Source organism: Homo sapiens, chromosome 2 (genome assembly GCF_000001405.40).
Source record: "Homo sapiens chromosome 2, GRCh38.p14 Primary Assembly".
Lineage (NCBI taxonomy): Eukaryota > Metazoa > Chordata > Mammalia > Primates > Hominidae > Homo > Homo sapiens.
In genome coordinates, this window is record NC_000002.12 from 4,120,155 (window position 1) to 4,141,211 (window position 21,057).

Consider the following 21,057-nt stretch of genomic DNA (forward strand, 5'->3'; position numbering starts at 1 on the left):
ACATTATTTTCACATCTTGGCAGTTGTAAATAATGCTGCAATCAACATGGGAATGCTAATATCTCTGAGATCTTGATTTCAATTCTTTTGGATAAATACCCAGAAATGGGTTTGTGGCATCATGTGGCAGTCTTATTTTTAAAATTTTAAGGAAGCTTCATATGGTTTTCCATTGCTGCTGCACCATTTTGTGTTGCCACCAATAGTATGAAAGAGTTCCAGTGTCTCCAGTCTTCATGAACACTTGTCTTTCGTTTTGTTGACAATAGCTATCCTAACAGGTATAAGGTGATATTGCATTGTGGTTTTGATTGCATTTCTCTGATTATTAGTGACATTGACCATACCTTCATATGGCTTTTGGGCAATGGTTTGTCTTCTTTGGAGAAATGTCTGTGCAAGTTCCTAGCCTCCTTTTAACCAGGTTATTAGATGTCTTGCTATTGATTGGTAGGAATTCCTTATACATAATGAATAATAACTGCCTTAGTTTGGTCCTTTTCTAGTTCCTTGCGATGTATAGTTAGGCTGTTTATTTAAGATCATTCTTCTTTTAAATGTAGGCATTTGTTGCCACAAACTTCCCTCTTAGTACGGTTTTTGCCGTGTCCCATAAATTTTGGTATGTTTTATTTTCATTTTCATTTGTCTCAAGATATTTTCTAATTTTTCTTTTAATTTATTCTCTAACCCATTTGTTTGTTCAAAACTGGGTTGTTTAACTTTTATATATTTGTGAAGTTTTCAGTTCTTTCTGCTGATAATTTCTAGTTTCATTCCAATGTGGCTTCAAGACGAACTGAGGGTGGATTCTGGTCAACAGCCAGGGACAAACTGAGGTCCTTTGTCCAACAGCCCTAGAGGAACCAAGGCCTTGGAACTGAGCATGCAAGCAGCTCTTTCCCTAATTGAGCATTCAGATGAAACCACAGCCCTGCTCAACACCTCACTGCAGCATCATGGAAGAGCATGAAGCAGAGGCCTTGTTATGCCACTTCCAGACTTCTGAGACACAGAAACCATGAGATTGTCAATGCGTGCTGTTTTAGGCCACTGCGTTTTGGAGTAATTTATTACACAGCAATAGATAACTAACATAAGTGACCTACCTAAGTCACATACCTTAAAATGTTATCTAAACTGAGATTAAATGAAGATAATGAAAGGATTCAAAATGACTGAATCTACCAATCTAATCTAAGAAATACCCTCAGCAAATTTAAACACAATTACATGCAACAAATGACAAAAGGTGTCCAATAGGCTTTTGATATTGACTTTCAATTCCATCCCAAACAAAGAATTTTTAAAAATTATTTGCATATAAGAGTCTTTGTTCTGGTCCTCTCTGAATTCCTCCTTTCCATGTTGCTCAGATTCTGTGTGGCTACCACCACCACGACAGGGTTTTCTTAAACCTGTTTCCTGTGTCTGAACCTATTTCTACTTTGGAAAGAAAAAAGTCTAATTTTATGTACTATGTCTTTGCCAGCAGAATTCCTAAGGAGGGCCATTTATTGTAAATGCTTTGAAATCTTATTGTCTGAATAACTGATGTGTTTGTGATTATTTCTAAAATGTCCCTTATCAAAAGTTGTATTTGAAGTTAAAATCTTAGATGTTGTTATTCTCTTTCTGCCCTAGGACATTCTTAAAATGGAGATGTGTTTTCTGTTATTTCTACTGAAATATTTTGAAATAAATAATGAGCTAGCAGTTTTATATCATGCCATCTGTGCAAGATAGAACTTTGTAGAATACTACTAGCTACAAAACACAAAAGCCTATAGAGCGTTTGTTATACACTGCAATAGAAATTGAATGCTGTTTTACAGAATTAAACAATATCACCCATTCTAATTTTCCTTAAATAACCAAAGAGATTGGTTTAAATTATTGTCTAACAGCTTTTTGATTAAAGGTGCATTTTAAAACTTCCAAAATGCATCTAATGAAACAACCTTTTGTGTAACTATTCTATTCTGGAAAAGAGTTTGTGTTTTGTAAACATGTAATTCACATAATATTTGCTGCAGATCATATTAGAGAGTATGCATTTTTTTTTTTTACTCAAATGTGAAATAGGAATTTCAGGTCAAAGAGTCACCATGCATATAAAGAGAAAGATGAATTTTAAAAATACATATGAGAACTTCGGTAAGTTATTCAATCTCTTTTGTCTTTAGTTGCTTCATCTGTAATCTAGGAATGAATGAATGAACAGCCGAGGGCATGAATAGCTGCTGAGTATCACATAAATAAATGCCAAAGGTTTTCATTAACATTGTTCTATTTCCTTTCTACAATGGTTTTATAAAACAAAATTATTTACATTTTATTGATGGTAAAGCTGATTCTCATCTTCCTTTTTTCTGTGAAGTGGTTAAGTAAAAATTAAGATAAAGTAAGTGAAAACGTACCAAGAGATACCAAGAAAAAGGCTCTTTATGAATGTCTGAAGAGTGATTATTTTACATCTCATGAGAAATAATTGTTAATTTTAAAATAAGGTTGTTTCTTTTGGCCAAGTCAATTAAAATACCTTTTTCTGATGAAATCTTCTGGTTATAATTACACATTTCTTTAAGTTCCTTCTTCTGAATCGAGCCAAAGCCAAGCAGATATTGATTCTTGTAAACATTTTACTGGCATACATAAACCATATTATTTACTGAGTGATTTTGGTTTACTTTATTTTTCCTTTACTGACACAACTTTTTTTGGCTTTCTGTCAGAGCCACAGACTGTTATTTTCTTGTTTGCTTTTGTTTTGTTTTGTTTTTCCTATGTTGACTTTGGTAAAGTTCCCACTAAATGGCTATTGTATTAAGCCTTCTACTTTGGGGCCATAGTAACTGTTTGCTGATTGTGGTATAGATTTATAATGTTGATTTATTCCAGAACATGGTATAAGAATACCACTTTAGCATGGCCTTTGGCTACCAGATATGTCACTGTGCAAATTCATTTTTTAGTTTATTCTTACAGCTTGTTGCAGTTACATCATCTTATGGAAGATGCTCAAAAAGAAGCATCCTTAGAAGATGGCCCTTGGTTTCTAGGTTAGCCTATTTGGAAACTTGGTTGATGGTATCCAGGGAATGTGGAAATTTTGAACTACCTCCATGTGACTGGGGATTTGGGACACTCATTTTCACCCATGAATGTCATGTCAATAGAACCCTGGGCCATTGGCTATAACTGAAGCCAATGTGGTTCCTTTTGTAAATTTTGATTCCTTTTCTTTTTCCCTTTAGGTCCCAGTTTATCTCAAGTAATATATTATCCTCCTGCCTCCTGAAATTTTACTGACTTTATCCTTAGGTGTAGGTTTATTTAATGCCTTTGGTCCTTCTACAAGAACGTCCTCACAGAATCTAGCAATTGAGCCAGCAGATGGAATTGGCATCTCTTAAATTATAATTCCTAGTAATCCCCTCCCTCCATTCTTCTCACCCTTCCTCCCTCCCTCCATTTCTCTTTCTCTAAAATGAATTATACAGTTAAAAGACTTAGTAAGTCTTGAGAAAAACTATAGTAGCATTGTTAAACACATCAATTTTTAAACCAGCTTGCCTGAGTTCAAAGCCAAGCCCTACCAATTATTAACCTTGGGCAAGTTACTTAACTTCTCCCTGCTTCCATTTCTTCACCTGCAAAGTGGGAATGTTAAGGATAGCCCTTAATCTCATAGTGCTATTGCTAAGATTAAGCAAATTAAAATATCTAAAGCCCTTAGAGCACTACATAACACATAGTAAGTGCTAGCAGAATGTTTGCTATTTTTATTACCAATTTTACAAAATATTCCAGTAAAGTGTCATTCACTACATTATGAAGCTTACTGGATAATATTTCTAGATCCTTCAGAGCAAAAACAGCATGCAGATGTTCACTGTAAGTTTGAAAACTGCAGAAAATTCACTTGGCTCTTTTTATTTGCTTCAAATTAGAAATGTATCAACCTGTATTGATTGGAAATCTAATAAGTATTTGAATTTTAAGTATGGACATCCATAGTTTCCATATTATTCAGAAGCACAAAGTGACTATCAAACTATTGTACATTCCTGGCAATAAGATGGACCAGGGATCGACTTTTAGTGACAACAATAAAGCCCTTGATACTGCTTTTGTTTTGCTGACTTAAAATTGAACCATGTTTTATTTAATAACAATTATGCTTTTTACTTGTAAAATGCATGTAAAGAAAGTTAAGAAATACCAAGGGCAATAATATCTGATTCTTTCCCCCCAAATAAAATGATCTTATGAGCTACATCACCCAATTTAACCTGTACACATGTACTTTTGTGTTGTTCCCCAATGTTTTCAGTAAAACCTCTGGTCTTAACAACCTGTTTCCAAGGTTCTACCATAATACTAGTTAGCCAACATAGTATTGGGTTAAGCAGTACCAGTCTTGAACTATTATACCCACTGAGAATAGTTAATGGCAGTTCACAGGAACATCCATGTTTATCTCCTGTGTGCGTGTGTGTGTGTGTGTGTGTGTGTGTGTGTGTGTAAGAGAAATGGACGAGGGAGTGCTGGGGAATAGTTAAGATACAGATAGAGAAAGGGAAATCTTTAAAACTTCAGACCTCAGTTGGTCTTGTGAGGTGTGAGCAGGAAAAAGTCCACCCAGTTCATCAGCCTTTGCTAGAATTTGCCAGGCAGCTCAGAATGCAAAGGGATGAAGACTGATGGCATGGAGGTCTGAGTGTTTCCATTAGTGAGTAGGACCATAGCAGCAAACACAGCAGTCCCAGAGGACCAATGAATAGTGGCAGGCATTTTGCAAGCATTATGAGAGAAAAGCAAATCCTTCTTAGGAATTCTATTAGCAAAGAGTTAGTACATAAAATGAGACTTTTTTCTTTCCAAAATAGAAATAGGTTCAGACATAGGAAACAGGTTTAAGAAAAGTGTGTCATGGTGGTGGTAGCCATGCAGAATCTGAGCAACATGGAAAGGAGGAATTCAGAAAGGACCAGAACAAAGACTCTTATATGCAAATAACTTTTAAAAATTCTTCATTTGGGATGGAATTGAAAGTGAATATCAAAATCCTACTGGACACCTTTTGTCATTTGTTGCATGTAATTATGTTTAAATTTGCGGAGGGTATTTCTTAGATTAGATTGGTAGATTCAGTCATTTTTAATCCTTTCGTTATCTTCATTTAATCTCAGTTTAGATAAGATTTCAAGGTATGTGACTTAGGTAGGTCACTTATGTTAGTTATCTATTGCTGTGTAATAAATTACTCCAAAACACATTGGCGTAAAATAGCACGTATTGACAATCTCATGGTTTCTGTGTCTCAGAAGTCTGGAAGTGGCATAACAAGGCCTCTGCTTCATGCTCTTCCATGATGCTGCAGTGAGGTGTTGAGCAGGGCTGTGGTTTCATCTGAATGCTCAATTAGGGAAAGAGCTGCTTGCATGCTCAGTTCCAAGGCCTTGGTTCCCCTAGAGCTGCTGGACCACGGGCCTCAGTTTGTCCCTGGCTGTTGACCAGAAGGCACCCTCAGTTCATTGTCATGCAGGATTCTTCAAAGTGGGAAGCCGCCTCTTCAAAGCTCAAAAGACAGCACATCAGCCAGCAAGATGGAAGTCACAATCTTTTGTAACCAAATTAAGGAACAGAGGTTCCCTCAAGTTTGTCACATTTTGTTGGTGAGAAGTAGTAAGCCCAGGGGGATTTTACAAAGTTGCGAGTATCAGGAGGTGTAGATCATGGGGGACATCTTAGGGATTGCCTGCTACCCTGTTTTTCACTTTTGCAGTTAGGGGATTATATGACAGAGTAGGTAAAACTAGGCAAGCTGCTTAAATGAAATAATGCAATGCAAAGTGTGTTATTTGGTGTCCTCTAGGAGCTTTAAAATAATAAGAACCCTTTCTTCTTCCCTTTGGTAATTCTCATTATGACAGCAGCTACCCTTGAAAGAGGACCACCTCTAACTTGGACACCAAGATCTTTCTGGCCTGGCCTCTGATTCTCCTTTGCACCCTTCACTTGTGAGCCACTCTGGACATTTGCCAGCTTCTCTATGTGGTGTGCACTTCCCCTCCCCTCCCATCAATGCCCCTTCATCTCCTGGCAAATCCTACTCACGTTTCAGCCATCACCTTACATTTCACTTTGTCTGGGACATCTTCTCTAATCTTCCTAATTCTGGGCTTGAGGTGTTTTCCTTATGGATTTTCATTGCATTTGATGCTTACCCTTATGCTGCAGCTTCTATTACTATTACTACAGTTACTACTGCTGCTGAAGCTTGTACTTCTACTACTACGGCTCTCACTACTATTACTAGTACTACTGTTACTGCTGCTGCTAGCAGCTTCGACTACTAGTAGTACTTTTATTATTACTGCTACTACTACTACTATTATAGCTGATGCTACAGCTTCTACTAGTATTGATGCTTTTGCTGCTACTGTAATCTTGCTGCTTTTACTATTATTACTACCATCTAATATTTATTGAACACTAAAAAACAGGTGATATTTTAGTGTTTATACATTAGCTTATTTAATCTTCTTTTCAAGTTGATGAGGTAGTTATTATCTTCTTTTTAGAAATGAATAAAGAAGGCACAGATAATGTTATTGTTATTGCGTTATTTTTAAAGATGAAGAAAGGAGGCTCAGAAAAGTTAAAAAGTTGTTCCAGAGCTAAAAAAAAAAAAAAAGGTGATATCATAAAAGTAAAAAGAAGAACAGAGGAAACCTTAGACTGGGAAGGGAAGTTGGAAAGGTGAAAAAGGGAGAGATTTGTTGAAGGATACACAATTACAGCCAGATGGGAGGACAAGTCTTAGTGTTCTGTAGCACTGCAGGATGACTACAGTTAACAATAATATACAGTTCCAAAAGCTAGAAGGAGGATATTGACCGTTCCCAACATGCTCAATGATGATGATGGATATGCTAATTACCCTCATCTGATCACTATATATTATATGTATCAAAATATCACTATGTACTCCATGAATATGTACAATTATAATATTTGTCAATTTCTTAAAAAAAGTTGTCCTTGGCCATATAGCTAGTGTTTGTTTGCCTTTTGCAAGCTTTTCTAGATTGCAAGTTTCAGGAGCTCAACTACCTTATTTAGGTTTTTTGTTTTGGTAGATTCAAAATTGAACACAGTGTTCAATACAGACCACAGTTGGGGATTATTGCTGAATAAATTAGAACAAAATATTGTAATATTTTGTGTGAAGATTTTAATTGCGGAGTGGCTTAGTTTTCTCATTGTATAAGGCAGTAATAACACCATCTTTGCAGGATTGCATAAACTATAAGTGAATGACTGTGTCCTGATACATAGTAAATGCTCAGTGAATGCTGCAATCATTATAATGCAAAGTGGAGAACTGAGCTATGGCAATACGTTCTGCAACTTAAAGTGGGGTGTCTGGAATTTCCTAAGGGTAGTAACATTGTTTAGCATGAGGATATTATTTTTTCCTTAGACGCAATTAGAAATTAGACTGATGTGAAAAAGGTCTCAGATGATACTGAGTCTAGTTGACTATGCCCTTAAATCTTGCTGTATTGCTGAACTGGAGAAAAGGAGATTTTATCGGTGTGGGGTGTGGTAGAAATTGCAGGGTTGTCGTGTGGATAATGAAATGCTGTGTGTGGTTGTGGTGGTGGTGGTGTATTGGTCTTTATCCCAGGCTCTTTGACTACCAGCATAAGAGACTCCTGGCAGCCTTCCGTGGATTAACAGTGTTTCAATTACCTTCTATGGTTAAGTAGAGTTTTATTTTGAATTCCCAAGCAGCGCTTGGTTGTGCTACTTGCCTTCTCTCCTCATTAAGTGTTGCTTATCTTGAACAAGTAATCGTAGGTTACCAGGAAATGTTTCTGGTTCTCAACTTGTGTCTCTGGCTTCATGGGAAGCTTAAAAATATCCTGTGTCCCAGAATTCAAGTTATGGGGAGTTGAAGCATGCTTCTAAGCAGTTACTCTTTAGACTTTACAAATCAGCTGTCTGATCCTGTAGCTGATGCTTTCCTTTGCTCACCTTGGAATCCGTGAAGTTGAACGTTTGTCAAATGCTACTTTGAAAATGCAGTGTTATTATTCTTCACAGCGATAATGACTTCAAAAGTTCCTCCAGGTTATCTCAGCATGGTCTCTCCTGCCCAGTCATCTTCAACTTTGTTTTGCCAGGGGTTCTTCTAACTGTCTTTCACAGACTTTGCCAAGTTCATTTGGTGGCTGTTGTTACACTTGCTGGCCTAGAGACCTTTGCTTTATAGTTTTGCCCTTTTAAAAATAATGGAGTCATGTTTTCCTCCCTTTAATCCCTCATGAATCTACTGAACTTTTCAAAATGTCATTGAGGGAGCCAGTGGTTAACTTTTTCCCTTCTCTAACATTCTGATGCATGTTATCAGGACCCAAAAGTTTGTCGTCTTCTCCACATTTATCATTTTAAACATTTCTATTATCCACATGTTGTATAATGGCACTTATGCCGTTTTCTGGCTCTAGTGTTCATTTCCAAAGATGGATAATAAACTTTCAACTTTAATGAGAGGCCAGTGACTCTGTGAGGAGCGGTGCAGCTGGCCCTTCTCTACTGTGGTTACATCAGTTCGGTGCTTTCTGGAGGCTTCTTTTTGCTCTCGTTCCGCTCACACTTTGGATTTAAAATTGTGAATAGAAGTGGGAGAACTTCAACTCTTTTTAATATTGTGCTGTCTATTAAATAATAGACTGAACCCACAATAAAGACTAAAAATTTCTGAATGTTACATTATTTAATGAAATCCTTTAAACAGTGTCGATGCTGCATAAAACGATCTCAACGCATGCAACTCTGCGTTGAAGCATTTTCACAGAACGGGTTCATGTTGAGCCCTGAATGAATTGCAACTTAGCTGTATCCATTTCATTCTCCTTTATTCTATTTGGTGTGTTATCAGTTTTCATCTAATGCGATCATTGATATGGTTTGTTAAGGTCTATCATATTGCTATTTACATTTTTCTGTGGAGGGTCTCATCTAATTTTTGTTTTCCAAATCGTTTTTTCCTCACAAGATTTTGGATGAATCAAATATGTTTTTCATTCTGTTTAAACATATTTTATTTTCTTTTTGTACTTTTTAAAGTGTTTGTTTCATGTATGACCCTATACATCTTTATTACTGTCTACTTAGAGTTGATATTATGCTACTTTATTTAAATAAAAAAACTTGTTCATTTTTGTTAAATTTATATCTAAGTAGTTTATTATTTTGAGTCTACTGTACATTAATATTAAAAATTTTATTTTCTTTATTTTGCTGGAATGAGAAATACAATTTCATTTTGTATATGACCTCTTAATTGAAGATACTTTAAGTTTTTCTACATAGACAATTACAATAGCAGTAAATAAAGAAAAATAAGCCAGCTTAGTGACTCAGTGTATTTTCTAATGAAGACTATAGTTCTTCAGACTGAATAGATCAGGCCAAACCTTAGTGGTCATTGTTAAGGTCACACAGCCATCGCCTGAAGGTGACCTGACAGTGGCTTCTGGTTTTACCCGAATTCCAATCCATGTTCCTTATGGATTTTTTTAGTGATGGCATAGGTAAGTGAGCTGGAAATCTGAGGCCACTATCTATGTCTCTCTTGAAGGATGAGTTTTGTTGTGAGCGCTCCTCAGTGATGGCCTGGGTACTTCTAGAGCCTATCTGAATGAATGATGTACAGAAACAGCTTTGCTGAGAGGAGGGAATTTTTTCTCCTTCATGTCCTCTGGCATCTCTTTAATCAGCCAGAACTGTAAGAAAGGTTCATCACATTTTCTTTCTTTACTGAGCCCATTAACCTACATGTTGCAAGCTGTCATGTCAAATGATTACTAGCAGATTATGGTAACAGCGACCCTGTCTTCCGGTAGTTTAGAGGAGCTTTGCTTTAGATTAAGCAGAGCAAATGGCTAATTGCTGCAACCTCTTCTTCTTGTGAGCAGATTTTATAAAGTCATCTGGGAAAGGCATGGCCTGACAATAAAGCTTGATCTCCATGGACTAGGGCCAGGAAAATGTAGAATATCTTTAGTGATATGGAGTGGCTTCTGAAATGTTGAACATTAATTCCTTTTAAATACCATACTGAGTAGAAAAAAAACTTTTTTTAAAGTTTTTCTATATAGACAATTACAATAGCAGTAAATAAAGACTGTTGGACTTCTCTCTTTCCATATGCTACTTCCTTTTCTTGAATTGCACTGGTCAGGCATCTCCAATGCAGCTTTTGTGTTGGTGTTCTGTATCTACATATAATCTGTGCAAACATTATTAACCCCATATACACTGTTATAAGTATTGCTTTAAGCAGTAATATGTCTTCTAAATAAATTATGGAAAAAAGAAAGCCTATTTGCAATCTTTTATATTTGCTGAAATATTTTCCAATTCTGGTGCTCTTTATTCCTTTATGTAGATCCATATTACCATCTTCCTGATGTCATTTATTTTAGGCCTGAAGAACTTCCTTTTAGGAATTTCCAAGTTCAGGTTTATTGGTGAATAATCTCAGTTTAAAAAAATCTGATGTGTTGTTTGCAACCTCATTTTCCAGGATATTTTCCATTAGCTATAGATTCATTTTTGTCCTTAAAACTATGTTCCATTGTCTTCTGCCCTACATCATTTATGATGAGAAGTCATCTGATACTCCTCTCATTCTTTTCTCTAAATGAAAAGTGTTGTTTCTCTGTAGGTAAACACAAGATTTTCTTTTTAACTTTGGCTTTAGCAAATTTATAGTTTAGCAATAATTATGATGGGGACAGTTGTGGTTTTCTTCTTACTTGCTTAGATTTCAATGAGTTTTTCGACTTATTGGATTATGGGTATCACTATATTGGGAGTTTTTTTTCAGCCATTGTTTCTTTGAATATTTTATTTTCTTACTCATTGTATCTTTCTTCTCTTTCTTGGGTGGCAACAGCACATATGTTAGGGTGCTTGACATTTTCCCACAGTTTACTAAGACTGTGCTTATTTTTTGTCATTGTTAATATAGCTCTGATTCTCTCTGTCCTTCAGAGTGTGTTATTACTGTTCAATCTTCAAGTTCACTTATTCTTTTTTCTGTCACTCAGTCTGTTGTTAAGCCACATGACTAAAAATCTCCTATCAGATATTGTGCTTTTCACTTTAGAGTTTCCATTTGGTTTCCTCATTCATTCATTCTCAAATATTTTCCTATAAATCCTTAAACATATTTATAATACCTGCTCTAGAGACTTTGCTCAACATCTGCATCCTTCTGGGTTTAATTTCTATTGACTTATTTTGCTTGATTTTTGGTCCTATTTTCTTGTTTCTTCCTATGCCTAGTGATTTTGGATTGTAATTTGAACACATGTGACACATTGTGGAGACTCTGGGTTTTTGTCCCCTTGAAGTGTGCTGAGCTTGTTTTAGGAGGCAGTGAGCTCCTCTGAACTCAGACTCCACCCTCTGGCTCTTCTGCAGTTGGCAGCAGCTGAAATTAACCCTCAGTTCTTCACTTTCTTGCTGCTTCATTTTGTTGGGCTCCATGGAGCATCTCCCACTGCACCTGTGTATTTAGCAGTCCACCAATGAGTTGGGCAGAATTTATGTGCATGTTTTAGTGCTTCCTCTTCAGTGGCTCCCTCTCTTTCAGGATTTTACCCTAACTTTCTTGATGCTCTTTCCAGAGCCACATGTGGATGGGAGAATGCCCTTTAGCAAAAAGCTGCAAACTCATAAACCTTTCCATTGCTTTCCCATATTTCAGGCATGGGTTACTATCTTTTACATGCCATCTTTGGATGTCTTGAAAAAATCCTCCAGTTATTGCCTGCCTTTTAAATATTTTGTCTAGGTTTGATGATTGTCTCTGTAGCCAACCCACTCGTCTTGACTACTTGCATCTGGGCCCTTCTGAAAGATTATGAAGATTAAGTTCTTCATATTCCGCTATTCTAAAGGTACAAAGGTCAGCATCATCATAAACATTGCCATCATTTACTGTTTAATTAAACTTGAGGAAATTGTGCAATGTGCCTATGTTTAATATACAGATGAGTTGCAGCAATAATAATATTCTGTACATCACTCACTGATGCAGGCTGTGTAGTGGACCTGCAAAGATGCCCACATCTAAGTCCCAGAACCCATGAATATGTTATCTTACATGGTAAAAGAGCTTTTCCAGATGGGACTCAGTTTAGGATCTTGAGATAAGGGATGCTGCTGCACTTTCTGGAGGGGACCAATGTAGTCTGAGGGTCCCTCTAAGAGGATGCAGAAGGTCAGTATGAGGAGAAGGCTAGGTGACAGCAGAAGCAGAGAGAGGCCGAGTCAGAAAGAGAAGGTGCTCCTTCTGGCTTTGGCAATGGAGGAAGAGACCATGAGCCAGGCAGTGCGGGTAGCCTCTGGAAGCTGGAAAAGACACAGAAGTGGATTCCCTCCTGGAGCCTCTGGAAAGAATGCAGCTGTGCTGATACTTTGCTTTTAGTGTAGGAAACCCACTTCAGACTTCTGATCTCCCAAACTGTAAGATAATACATTGTATTGTTTGAAGCTAATAATTTTGTGGTATTTGGTTATGGCAGTGATAGAAAACTGATACAGTCACCAAAATTATTTTATCAGTGGCATTTTATAACCTTCATTTCTAAAAATGGCATATATCTAATCATTTGTACATATCCCTAAAGCAACTTATCACCTATGTATTTTTATTATTTCTAATTTTGTATTCAGATCAGTTTCTTATTAAAGATTATCCCATTGTGAATTTCTAGAGTGATTGAAGATGAGGTCAGCTGTCTTGAGAAGCTTTACTGGAGGACAGAGGAAGCTTCCTTAGATGTTATCTTTGGCTTTCTTGGAAAACCCTCAGAGCACTCGCCTGCCTGCTCTAGAGTTGCTGGTAGTGCATTTTCAATTATCTCTTAAGGGGCTTATAATTCAATCTTATTTGACAACCTAAGTGGAAGCTTATACATCACTTAATATTTATATCTTATGTTTTTTCTCCTTATGTTTCCCCTTATACTATAAACTGTTTGTAACAAAGCCAGCATTATAATTTTATTTTTATTTTTAGTGCCTAATTCGCAGAGAGGACTATTTGCACTCCACAAGTTTCCTGTGTGCAGGTGGCATCATGTGACTCTCCCGGCTGCTGGGACATGAGAGCACAGAATGTGTCCCCTTCAGGCCACAGTGGGGTGTCTGTGCACCTGGCACACATGTGGTGGCTTAGAGACCATGAATGGCCATGTTGGCAATGGAGGGAGCCTGGATTCCTCACACTGTTTGGAGCAGAGCCTGTGAGGAACATCTATACCAGACTTCGTATAGCAAGAGAAAACTTTAATTTTGTTATTCATTTTGACATTTTCAGACAGCTGTTAGAGCAGCTGTTTTATCTTTCTCATGGATACATTTATCAATAGGAATATGCAATCATCAGATTAGATCAGAAAGACTAGTTTTTGAGAGTTGCTGCAATAGCTTAGCCCTGAATTGTGGAGCATCTCCTGTATGCTGGGCACTCTAGCATACACCCTTTAAGTCCCCCTGCCATTCCTACGTTTGCACAGGAGTCCAGGCCTCAATAAGATGAAGGAATTCACCCAAAGCTAACAACCAGAAATGGATGGAATTGGAACGGAATCTAAAGCCATGATTTTTCCCCGGCAACACACTACGTTTAAGGGTTTAAAATCACGGACTACTGTAATAATTCGTTCAACTCCTCTTTTTACAGAGGGCCATGGAAAGTAAAAGGAAGCAACGTTAGTTTCTTGATTTTTTAAAAATTTTGTGCACAGTGCAGTTAACGGGGGGCCATTTGACAAAGTCTGGAGACACTTTTTCTTGTCAAAAGTGGGAGGTACTCCTGGCATTTGGGAGGTGGAGACCAGGGATGCTGCTGAACCCTACAGTGCACAAGATGGCCCCTTTGACAGGGAAGTCCCGTGTCTCCATATCTAGCCCCAAATGTCAACAGTACTGAGGTCGAGAAACTCTGTTAAAGGTCATTCAACCACTGCATGGCACAGAGGGAATTCAAATCCATGGAATTACTACTATATAATGTGTCTCTCCAAAAAGGCTCATTATCACTGACCAAGAAACTTGGGCTCACTGTTTTAACTGATTAGTTGGGAAACTCAAGAGATGCATGATGGAAAAATTTAAATACTTTGATCTTTATGAGGCTGTGAGCTCTTAGCGTTCAAGAATGAAAGACATTTCTTATTGGCTTTTCAATGTCTAGCAACTGGCACATTACATAGTATGTTCTTACTGACAATTTGTTAAATTAATGCATGAGTCATAAAGCAATTTTTGGTGCCCCCAAAGTTGATACTAATGACAGCCACTTTTTAACTAACTTAAGAAAAATATTTTATCAAGTATATATTTTTCTGATTGACATGAAAGATAAGCCTGTGAAACTCCTCTCAGTCCTCCAGTGGGATGCCCCGTGCCTTTAAATGAATTTTACTGTTGGTCTTTGAGTGCAGTAGGCCCCATTTCCCCTTAAAATTGTGGGCTGCATTTCCTCTTATGCTGTATATTTATAGCTGCTGCCTCCTAATTTCTTCTGAGTCTTGTTATTCTTGGCAGCTGTTGTCAAAGAGTATTCACCTCTCCCCTGGGTGTTTTTCTAAAACAAAAATAAAATAAATAAGGGTTTCTCTGTGCCTTGGTCTTTTGGATCATCTTCCCTGCTGCTCCCCAGCAAGGTCTAATTTGCTAGTCTGGATTTGCTTCCGTTGGTAAAAAGAGTCTCTTTTGCAGAGGTGCTTCCTTAATTGGCATTTTTTTTTGTTGGGGCTTGGGAAGCTGGTTCTTCCCACTCACCCCCAGTTCACTAGTGTCCCCACGTGATCTGCGGCTGACAAGAGGCAGAGACAGGCCCATCCAACTCCTTTCTTGTCAAGAAAACTTCACTCCTCTGTAGTTGGATTTTACCCTTAACTCAGAGCCCTTGGAGTTCAAGGGCCTCTGAAAACCAGTTTTCACAGCCCAGGATCCCACACATGTCATCTGAGCTGCACCCAGTGTATTAGAAAAATAGACGACATGTGGAAAGGAGAAAGATTTTATATTCAAGAGCTCCCCCACCTCCAGAAAGAAGCTTCCTGATTAGGAAAAACACCCTTAAGGGTGGGAAGTGACACACTGATTTGACGTGGGCAACCATGAATGAGTCACAACAGTGACTTCCCTGTTGGGCTTTGAGCTGCTCACCTGTTGATATCCGTTTCTCTGTTAACTCTAATCATAACAGGTGAAGCTGACCTGCTTAAAGGATGGAATTTGTAGATTCTCGTGGTTTTCTGTAGAGTCAACTTCTTTGTCCTTTAGATTATCACTGTTGCCTAAAATGTTGCTGTTCGTATGAGAAATGGTCACATGTACCATTAATAACAACATGCCACATTCTCAGAGCTACAGTGGCAGGCTTTATTTTATTGTACTTCGTTTATCTGAGTGTAGCCACTCTCTCAGATACATCTGAAATCCCCGTGGAGGGAGAGGGAGAGGTGATCTCTTGTTTTGGAATGGTGATAGAGGAGAATGGAATGTCATGCCTGGGCCCAAACTCAGTAAGAAAGTTTCTCTGAACTCTGAACTTATTCCTGTTAGTTACGGCACTCAGCCTACCCTGAATTTCCTGCTCTCCCTCCCGGTAGCATCTACCCACTGGCACACACCCCTCCCGACTGGCCTGTTAAGCTCTTCCTTTGAGGAGTGCGGCGGCGGCGGCGTCAATGGCTTCCTTACCCACATGCCCACCTGCAGGCCCAGGCTGCGTTCCTCCTGTTCTGAGGTCTGCTTTTCAGGGAACAGGCGCTTTGCTGCCGCCGCCCCTGCTTCGGTTCTCACTGGAGCAGCGACATCAAGGCCAGCCCATTTTTAAAGCAACAGTTCACAATTTAACATAACTCCAGGTGTACATCTAGCTGTCCATTCTGGTCCCATAATTATGTTCACTTCCTAAGAATTCAAGAGAAGAAAACGCTGAGAATACCCTGTAAAGGAGTTTGAGGAAAGGCACGGGAACTGTTTACCCCACAAAAGTGGAGGAGGTTCCTCCATACGACGATAAATTAGTCGGACATTGGTTGGACTAGAAATGACCTACTCCTGAATGTTTTTGCATGACCCAGCATGTCAGAGGTGGGTAGAATTTAGAACAGGCTATAGCCAGAGTGCTGATTAGAAGTGAAGGGTGTGAACTGGGAGAGCGAGGATGGAGCAGACGATGCTGATGACAGAGACCGCGGAGGCAGAGGAGAGGGCCGAGGCTGAGGATGCTGCAGCAGGGGACAGGTGGAAGATGTTGCTTGGGCGTCGCACGCTTGTAACTCGGATGACTGAATGCTTCATAGATCTCATTGCGCAGAGTGGGCGCTCGGTCATAGTTGCTGAATGAGAATGAGGACTTTTTTTTTATACACTACTGCTTTTGTTTCTGAAGCTTCTAAAGGATGTTTTTGACTTTATTTTTAAACAATGTGATACATTTCCTATATTCTTTTCAATGTCTGTTCATCTCCCAATTCATTTGTCAAAGAGTATAAGTGGTGTCATCTTCTCTGGGATATTTTTAAAACCGTTCTTCAGCAGACAAGCTAAATGCTGGACTACAGAAGCAAATGTGCAGGCTGTGGCTTCAGTTTTAATGCACGCTTTTACCTGTAGTGTTACTGATGCCAAAATCAACCTATTTGAGGGTAGTCATCTCAGGCCTACTTTGAAGTCATCAGATTTAAAGTGAGGTATCATCTTTTGTGATTGCATCACCAGACTTATTTCCTGGAAACCTGATGGAAAGATGTAAAGAGAATGTGTATTAAAATTTGAATAAATGAAAGGAGCTAGTTCACATGTTGGAAAACCACAGAGGAGAATGTCAAACAGAAGAGAAGAGACTGCTCACCTGTTGATATCCATTTCTCTGTTAACTCTAATCATAACAGGTGAAGCTGACCTGTTTAAACGGTGGAATTTGTAGATTCTCATGGTTTTCTGTAGAATCAACTTCTTTGTCCTTTAGATCATCGCTGTTTCCTAAAAAGCCACTGTTCATGTGAGAGAAATTGTCATATGTACCATTAACAATAACATGTCGCATTCCCAGAGGTACAATGGAAACAGTGATTGATTTAGTAAACCCGTATTGAGATCTTAGGCATTCTAGAAGAAACAGTGAGATTGTTTTGGATAAAAGGAGTTGGAAGGCAAGGTAGGGGAAAATGAAATGTTTGCTGAAATCTTGGACATATGAAAGAGGAAGTTAGTGTAAGTATAAACAATTTAAAAAATAACACTTGGCATATAACAAAAATAAGATAGAGACAGAGCAGAATTGAAAATATGAAAGTAATTACTCAAAGTGACTTGAGAAAAAGTCTCAAGCTGTGTTTTCATAGGGAGAAGGGAAACTCAATTTGTAACCTAATCTGAGTGTCTTTCCTATGTCCGTAGAAATATAAAAGGGACACTCCTATTTGGAAGGTGAATTTTCTAGGAATTAATAATAATTCGTCCATTCATTTGTCCATTCAGGCCCCTCTGACCCTGCTCTAATTTTTGCACACAGCACTTTTCATCTGGTAACATGATGTGTGACTTTGCTATTATGGCTATTGTCAGTCTTTCCCCAAGTAGTGACCTGAGTTTCTTTCCTTCTCTGGTTTTATTAAGGCAGTATCTGGCACGTAGAAGGAATTCAGAAATACTGAATGAAGGAGCACCTGTTACGTACCTAGCATTGAGCAAGGAGCTAGCAATACAGAATAGAGGTATGACCTTCAGGTTCCCTACAGTAGTAGGGGCATCAAATAAACATATAAATCTAAATAATGTATGTATAACTATACATATATATAGTTTTGCATATATATAGTACTACTATATTTATATGTACATAATATATAGTATATATAATACTATATGTATAGTACTATCAAGTACAAGGGTATGGACAGATTCACTGGGGTCAGTAATACTATAAAGTACAAGGGTATGGACAGATACACTGGGGTCAGACTGATGCAGTTGCAAGTCTGAATCCCAGCTCTGACACTTAGTGTCTGATACTAGCTGGGTAAACATAGTTACATTGCTTAAGCAGCTTAAAACTCAGGCACCATATCTGTCAGATGAGTTAGTAATCTCAACTTTGTGGGGCTTGTGTGAGAAACAAGGAATAAGCAATATAAAATTAAGACAAGGAATAAAAGCATTAATTACGACTCTAAGAAAGTTAAAAGCCCCAAGGTAGAGAGTGCTATCAGCTGACTGACGAAGGGACCTGTTGGCCAAGTCTTGTGCCCCCATACCTAATGCCCACTTTTGGCCATGTGTGCTTCCTTTCTCTGGCCTTAGGGCTTCTCTAAATGGCTCCTATTAGAGGAAGCAACATTTTATTGATTGATTATAAAGAGAAGTGGAAATAGGATCTATTTGTATCTGCTATGATATGAATGTTTGTGTCTCCCTAGACTCATAAGTTGAAACCTAATTTCCAATGCATTAGTATTAAGAAGTAGAACCTTTAGGTTGGGGCCTTCCTGACTGGGATTAGTGCCCTTATATAAGAGGCCCTGGGGAGCCTGTTTGTCCTCCTACCATGAGAAGACATAGTGAGAGGGTGTTATCTGTTAACCAGAAACTGGATCCTCACCAGACATTTACTTTGCTGGTGGCTTGATCCTGAACTTCTCAGCCTTCTCAGATCCTGAACTTCTCAGCCTTATAAACAACAAATTTCTGTTGTTTATAAGTCACCTTGTCTAAGGTATTTTGTTATGGTAGCCCTAATGGACTTAGACAACATCTTTAAGGATGTGCATTTGGTAGAAGAGTGAATTTCAAAGTATAGTACCTAGGGGCTGGGTGTGGTGGCTTGTGCCTGTAATCCCAGAACTCTGGGAGGCTGAGACAGGCAGATCACCAGAGGTCAGGAGTTTAAGACCAGCCTGGCCAGCATGGTGAAACCCTATCTCTACTAAAAATGCAAAAATTAGCGGGACATAGTGGTGAGTGCCTGTAATCCCAGCTACTCAGGAGGCTGAGGCAGGAGAATCACTTGAACCTGGGAGGTGGAGGCTGCAGTGAGCCAAGATCCTGCCACTGCATGCTGGCCTGGGCGATAGAGTGAGACTCTGTTTCAAAAACAACAACAGTAACAACAAAGTATAGTATGTAGGACAACGGCATCTGCATGACCTTAAAATTGGCTAGAAACTTGCATTCTCAAGTTCTACCCCAGACCCACTCAACCAGAACCCTGGACGTGGGTCGCTGTGTTTGAACAGCCCTCCAGTGGATGCTGATGCTTGCTCAAGTGTGAGATCCACTGCCCTGGAGCACTTGGGGAATCTCGCATACCTCTCAAGTGTTCCAACCATTGACCATCGTCAGCCATTGGAAGATGCAACTGGAGTGTATGATACCTTTATACAGTTACTATGTCAGTGTTATTTCCAGCAAACTTCCACACAGTGCCTAGAAACAATGCTTTATGCCCAGTTGACAGAATTATTATCAGTTTAATCTCTAAAGTCTTTCACTTTTGTTTTATGTTTTAAAATGATTCATTGCATTTTTAGATCTTGGTATTATGCAAACACTGGTTTAAATGATCTGAGAGAGAAAGTTCACAATGATATTTGCTGCCAGTATAGCATATTAGGTGGTCAAAGTGTTCGGTAAATATTAGCTCTGGTTTCACCACATGCCTGTCAGGTTGGTGCTGTTTCTAAACCAGTGAACTGGAGTTTAAGGCTGTTCCATCTTTATGGGAAGTTGATATTTCAACAAATAAATGACAAGAATGAGGGGGATGAGGTTTGAGTCTAGTGGGGTTCTGCTGCTGATTGGTCATTAATTATATTTATGTTATTGTATCTTTACCCAGAGGCTGCCATGAAGAACACATTGATTTTTAAATTCAAGATAAAAATAAATGACTTATGGCCAAGGCAGTTTTCACTTTGATTTTTTAAACTGCAAATGCAGTTTAGGAGAAATTTGATCTATCTGCTTCTGATTCACTCACACTGGAATCATTCAGGTGTTGTTTGGTGAGTTCTATTTGATGTCCTTAAAATGTGAGGTGAGCTCCTGTGTGAACCCTTTTCTCACTTTTTCTTTACTTAAATATTCCATGACACCTTTTCCCAAAGGCAAATAAACTCCACACTGACTCAGGGCGTCTGTAGGGAGCTACGGAGCTGCGCCTTCTGATTAGCCTGTAACTTAGCTCACCTCTCCCTGCCCTCCCTGGGAGCTGGGAAGGTGACACATGTGGCTGCTCTGGCAGGCGTGAGGCTGTGCTCAGCAGCTCAGCAGCAGGCACTCCCACAGCACACTAATTCATGATTTCCAATTAGAAATGCCTAGTGTCTATTTCAGACATTCAGGCTTGAGGTTTACTTACTTTTCCTCCTGTTAAAGGGAACTTCTTGTGTTCTCTTCTGCCTCCTTTCTCCTTTCCCTTCACTTGATTCTCCTTTTATTTTCCTCCCTTGCCGAGTGGGAGCCCTGACACGGGTGCCTGTATGTCTGAGGGCTGCATCTGTGAGGTCACCAGGAACCTCGTCACGGGGAGGAGGGGAGGCTCGGTGACAGTGACTGTTACAGAAGCAGAGTGTGCCATAGTTAAATGTAAAACATAGAAATCAAGAGCTATATGTTGCCAGAAGGCTTATTTTGCCCAGCTTTAAATTTTTAAGAATATACCTCTTTCATGATTGCAAGATTGAAAACAAATGGACAGGCCCTGCATCAATGGGCACTTTCTCACTTTCCTTATAGGAGTGTAACTTGGTAAATGCTTGTAAAGCAGCTTAGAGGAGTGTTTCAAGAGCAGTAATTTGACTTCTGGGAATACATCCTGAGGGGATAATTGTAAATTCCTCCAATTTTCTAGCTGTGCACGCCTAGGACTGCTAAAGAGTCAGGCTGCAAAGCCAGCCTGCCATTCAAATCACAGTGCAAACATATGTGGCATGTGTAACCTGG

The 21,057-nt window shown here is 38.8% G+C and overlaps 1 long non-coding RNA gene across 1 annotated transcript, besides 1 other annotated feature; it reads right to left on the reverse strand.

Moving 5' to 3' along the window:
- Window positions 1–15,842: 15,842 nt before the first annotated feature.
- Window positions 15,843–20,571, reverse strand: LOC107985841 (uncharacterized). Its single transcript, XR_001739260.1, has 3 exons — window positions 20,474–20,571; window positions 16,967–17,108; window positions 15,843–16,850 (listed from the first exon to the last, which is right to left on the reverse strand). It is a non-coding gene; the product is annotated as an uncharacterized LOC107985841 (long non-coding RNA).
- Window positions 16,028–16,197: an enhancer, noted in NCBI's record as "experimental_58486 CRE fragment used in MPRA reporter constructs". NCBI's record gives its function as "activates a minimal promoter by MPRAs in K562 erythroleukemia cells, with activity observed for both the introgressed and non-introgressed 2:4183857 variant alleles {active_cell/tissue: K562}" and the evidence as "EXISTENCE:reporter gene assay evidence [ECO:0000049][PMID:34662402]".
- Window positions 20,572–21,057: the final 486 nt, after the last annotated feature.